This window comes from Homo sapiens, chromosome 1 (assembly GCF_000001405.40).
Source record: "Homo sapiens chromosome 1, GRCh38.p14 Primary Assembly".
NCBI lineage: Eukaryota > Metazoa > Chordata > Mammalia > Primates > Hominidae > Homo > Homo sapiens.
The window spans coordinates 211701312-211706372 of NC_000001.11; the positions used below are offsets into that span (position 1 = coordinate 211701312).

At 48.9% G+C, this 5061-nt stretch overlaps 1 annotated feature.

Moving 5' to 3' along the window:
• Positions 2837–3338: an enhancer, noted in NCBI's record as "NANOG hESC enhancer chr1:211877490-211877991 (GRCh37/hg19 assembly coordinates)". NCBI's record gives its function as "activates a minimal SCP1, AML or CMV promoter by ChIP-STARR-seq in naive H9 embryonic stem cells {active_cell/tissue: H9 hESC(naive)}" and the evidence as "EXISTENCE:reporter gene assay evidence [ECO:0000049][PMID:30033119]".

The window sequence follows — 5061 nt, forward strand, 5'->3', positions numbered from 1 at the left end:
GGGCAGTCTGGTGGGACTGAGCCCTGAAAGTGTGGGATCTGACAGGAGCTGCAGCTTGATAGTGTCAGAATTAAATTGTAGGACACCCAGTTGGTGTTGGAGAATTGGTCACTGGGGGAAATAACCCAGACCTCTGGTGTCAGAAATGTTGTGTGGGTGTAAAGAAACTGTTTTTCTCATCTACCCAAGACCTTGTTTTCTGGCTAACTCCTACTTGACCTTCAAAACCCAACTCACGGCTCACCTCCTGGGGATCCTTCCCTGATCCCCAAGGTGCGAGGTAGGTGGTGCTCTTACGTGTGTTCCCTGAGCACAAGCACATGTACTTACCTCTGTCAAAGCACGGAAGACACTAAATGGCCATGATCAATTTTTTTTTTTCTCTCTGAGTCTTAGAGAGCAAGACTGTGTCTTAGACAACTTGGGATCCCAACACCTGGAACACAGCTTGGCACATCACAAATGGGTAGTTTTGGTTTGTCAGTTCGATTACCTTGTATAGAGCCAGCGCTTGGAATAGCATGAGGTGTGGAAAGGAGCTGACGTGCTCACCTCATCAGTAAGGCGGCACAGCATGCTGGCACTAGTATGGGCTTTGCAAACAGTCAGACTTGGGTCCAAATCTCTGCTTTACCATAACTCACTAGTTGTGTGCCTCTGGGCAAGTGTTTTAACCTCTCTGAACTTCAGTTGTCTGGACAAGCAACCAGGCGAGTGAATAATGTAACTTGCGATAAGGAGGAGGGAGGAGCAGGTCTGGGGAGGAGGATGTCATTCCTGCAGCCTTCTGACTGGAAACTCCTGTAGACAATGGATAGATGATCTGGGAAGAAGACATTAGAGATCTGGGGTCACCAACAGGTAATGACAGTGGAAGCCACAGAGGTGAGTGAGGAGGAGGTGTCTGGAGGGGCAGGTGGAGGGGAGCCTGCAGGGTAGAGTGAGGTGAGCAGAGGGTCACAGGCGGACAGTCACCAGCGAAACAGAGTGTGCGGGGAGGGGGTCTCTATCTTCATGACTTTGCCAAGCTCCTATTCTGATGAATCTGAAACCAGCTAAATTCTGCAACATTCATTAAATGAGGAATCTAAAATAGCTCTCCAATAAATGATTTATGTAATTATTGGCTGCTGCTTTCATTAGGAGCTGTTGTTAACAGTGTTAAAAGTGAGGGTTTTTTTTAGCCTAATTGAATGAGAAAGAAAATTAGAATAGAGGAGCAAATTAGAGGTGTCCTCTTCTCCCCGCAATCCTGTGCAAGTATAAACACTGCCCACTGTGATTGTCTTGGAAGGAAGAGATGGGGGGTGGTGAAAGGGACTGAAATAGGGCCCCTAGGGCATGAGGAAAGATAGGTACCAGACAGCAGCAGCTCAACCTGGCCCAGCTGGGTCCATTTCCCAGAAATGACCTTCCTTTCTTTCTGTGCCAAATGAAAGAGGTAGTGGCGGGGTAGGGGGGAGGGGGTTATAATTTGTACCCACGATGGGACAGGCCCAGAAAGGGAAGTCCAAAATTGGAGGAGAAGCCATTCCTCTGGCCACTTTTGCTCTCGCCACGAGTGCAGCAAGCAAGGCTCTCTGAGGCAGCCTCCTCGGAGGACAGCTGTGTCCAGGACCTGCAGCACCTGAGCCAGGGGGCTTTACCTGGCCCCTCAGGCCCTCAGTCCTTATCTACCTGTCCAGGGAACAGCTGCAGCTGCATAAAAATTCCTGGGTGTGCGCCACTGCACTCCAGCCTGGGTGACAGAGCGAGACCCCATCTCAAAAAAAAAATAAAATTTCCCACAGTAAATGCGCTGCCTGGGACACATAGTCCCTGCTCACACAGCCTAAAGGTAAAGAGCTATGGAGAACAGGAGCCTCCCACGACCTTCTCAGCAGGCCTCACAGGTCACAGCTTCCCACTGCTTCCAACACAGCTTCCTAACAGACGAAAAGCCATTCAACAGAAGGCCTCCAGAAACTAAGGGAAAAGACCTATGTTTGTAAATTTTGCCTAGAAGCACAACTACTAACTATACCTCTGTTATGGGTTGAATTTTGTCCCTCAGAAAAGATATGTTGGAATCCTAGCCCTCAGTACTTCTCAATATGACTTTTATTTGGAAATAGGGTCTTTGCAGATGTATTTAGTTAAGATGAGATCATATTGGAATAGGATAGGCCCCTAATCCAATATGACTGGTGTCCTTATGAAAAGGAGAAATTTGGCTACAGACACACACACACACACACACAACCCCATGTAAAGATGAAGACAGATTGAGATGATTCGTCTCCAAGCCAAGGAACTCCAAAGATTTGCCTGCAAACCACCAAAAGCTAGGGGAGAGGACTGGAGCAGATTTCTCCCTCACAGCCCGCAGAGGGAACCCACGCTGCTGACACCTTGATCTTGGACTTCCAGCCTCTTGGACTGTGAAACGCTAAAGGTCTGTTATGTAAACCTCCCATTCCATTCTGTGCTACTATGTTACTGCAATCCAAGCAAACGAATGCATCTCTGTCCAGATTACTGTGTGGGCAGGACGCAGAGCGTTACACCTTTCACACCTGTGAAAAGGGGGCCTCTTTCAGAAGGAAGGAGGGGAAGCTGAGTTTCCCAGCTTCCCCTTGTGGTTTCTCTATCCAGCCAAATTTTGCAGCTGCTCCCAGCAAGTCACATGTGTCCCTACTCCACGATCTGCCCGTGACTGGCTCTGCACTTGTTTATTCACTTACTCATATTTCTTTGTCCACCTGTGCATTTGTTTTTTCGTTCACCCAACACATTCTCTTGCCCACACCTGTATGCCAGCTGCTGGTCCAGTTGCTGGGCACACAGCGCGAACAAGACAGAAAAGAGCCATGTCCTTGCGGAATATTCATTACAGTGGGAGGAAAGGTCACTGATTAAACAATACTGACATCAGCGTAAAATGACAATGGTGGTTAAGTGCTGCCCATGACAGCAAGTGGATGCAAGAGCAATTAGCTGGCTGTCTTCATCGCCCAGCTAACCCTGACTTTGCCTCTGGCCTGTTTGTGAAGCCTGTGCTTCCATGTGAGGACAAAGACCACTCAGGTGTAGAAGAGCCTCATTGTGCTGTTAAGTGTTCTGCCGGTTGCAAAACATGCATCTTGAGCACAGATGTGAGCATTAGTTTGTGCCTGTCCCCACTGCAGCAGTGTTTTTGGCAGATGACTGAGGGATGCTCTGGCTGAAGTGGCAGGGATGCATGACACCCTTTAGGGAGTGGATTTCCTGGATAAAGACCAAACAGTGATAACACTAGAGGGTTGTAAAAGCCCCAGGTGGTCTCTGCAGGAAGCTTGGGACCCCAAGTGTAGTGCAGCACAGTGCTCTCAAAGGGTGGGTGCCAGACCAGCAGTACTGCCTGAGCTTTTAAGAAAGGCGAATCTGGCCCCATGCAGACCTAATGATTCAGGAACTGGGAGGGCTCAGCAGGTGGCTTCACCATGCCCTCTGGGGGCCACTGATGCAGGATGCTGATGCTCCTGGAAGTTGAGAAGCCTGGGACAGGGTACAAACATGGCTCTGGGGATAAGCAGACTCCAGTTTAAGAACTGGCCTTCCACTTACTGAGGCTTAGTTCTCTTATCTTTTTTTTTTTTTTGAGACGGCGTCTCGCTGTGTTGCCCAGTCACCCAGGCTGGAGTGTAGTTGCATGATCTCAACTCACTGCAACCTCTGCCTCCTGGACTCAAGCAATTCTCCTGCTTCAGCCTCCCAAGTAGCTGGGATCACAGGCGCGCTACCACACCCAGCTGATTTTTGTCTTTTTAGTAGAGACAGAGTTTCACCTTGTTGGCCAAGTTGGTCTCGAACTCTTGACCTCAAATGATCCACCCACCTGGACCTCCCAAAGTGCTGGGATTACAGGCATGAGCCACTGTTCCGGGTCCATTTCTCTTATCTTTAATAAGGACATAAAAATAGCACCTAACTTCTAGTACTGACTTCTAAAATTGCAAAGATTACATTAGGTAATGCATGTCAAGTGCCTGGGACCTAGTACAAGTTCCATAAACATTAGCTAGTTATTATTTTATTAGAATGATAATTCTCCTGTGTGCTTATGGAGAACAGGCCTACTTAGCCTAAACATTGGAGCATTAGGAGGTTATCAAGCAAACCTCAGTATAACCATAGCCCTTTCTTGAGCTGGCTGCCTGCCTGGCCCTGTGCTCTCTGCCCACCAAGCAGAACTGGTGAGGCCGGAGATGCTTCCTGGCTCAGCACCTCCTTAGCCCGAGGGCTTATAGGACAAGAGTTGTCAGGAATCTGGGCCTCAACTTGCTCCAGGAACTGCAACCTACGATCAGGCTACATTTGCAAACTGTCATCACAACACCAGACAGTTCAAAATCAGTGCCTCATGCATGATCTAAACAAGGGTGTTGGCTTTGTGGGGAGAAGAGGGCACAGGAGAGTGACGTGCTAAATAGGTATGTGTGAAGGGCAGAGTGCCATAGAGTTTTCCATGGAAGAGCCTCAGCACTCCAGGGATTCATGTGCCAGAAAAGCCGAGTGTGTCTTGCCTCTTTGACTTCTTGATTCGTTTGTCCCTTTAAGCATCCCTATTTGTTTACCCAAATAGGAGGTTGCTCTAAGCTGTAATAAAGCTCTCAGCTGTGCCACTGCAGAGGACAGCTGCACAGGCAGGTCAGAAAGGCCAAGGGAGGCTTGCAAATGCACTGAGCTAATTTCCAGAACATGCACATTCTGTCCACCCCACTCCTCTGTACTGAAGTTTTAACTGAGTGATACTGGAGGAATCCTCCTGTGTCTATAAGACTTCCAGGGCCTACAGGGCTCAGTGGCTCATGCCTGCAATCCCAGAACTTTGGGAGGCTGAGGCAGGTGGGTCACATGAGGACAGAAGTTTGAGACCAGCCTGGGCAACATGGCGAAACCCTGTCTCTGCTAAAAATACAAAAATTAGCTGGGCATTGTGGTGCACATCTGTGATCCCAGCTACTCAGAAGGCTGAGGCAGGAGAATTGCTTGAACCTGGGAGGTGGAGGTTGTAGTGAGCTGAGATCACGCCACTGCACT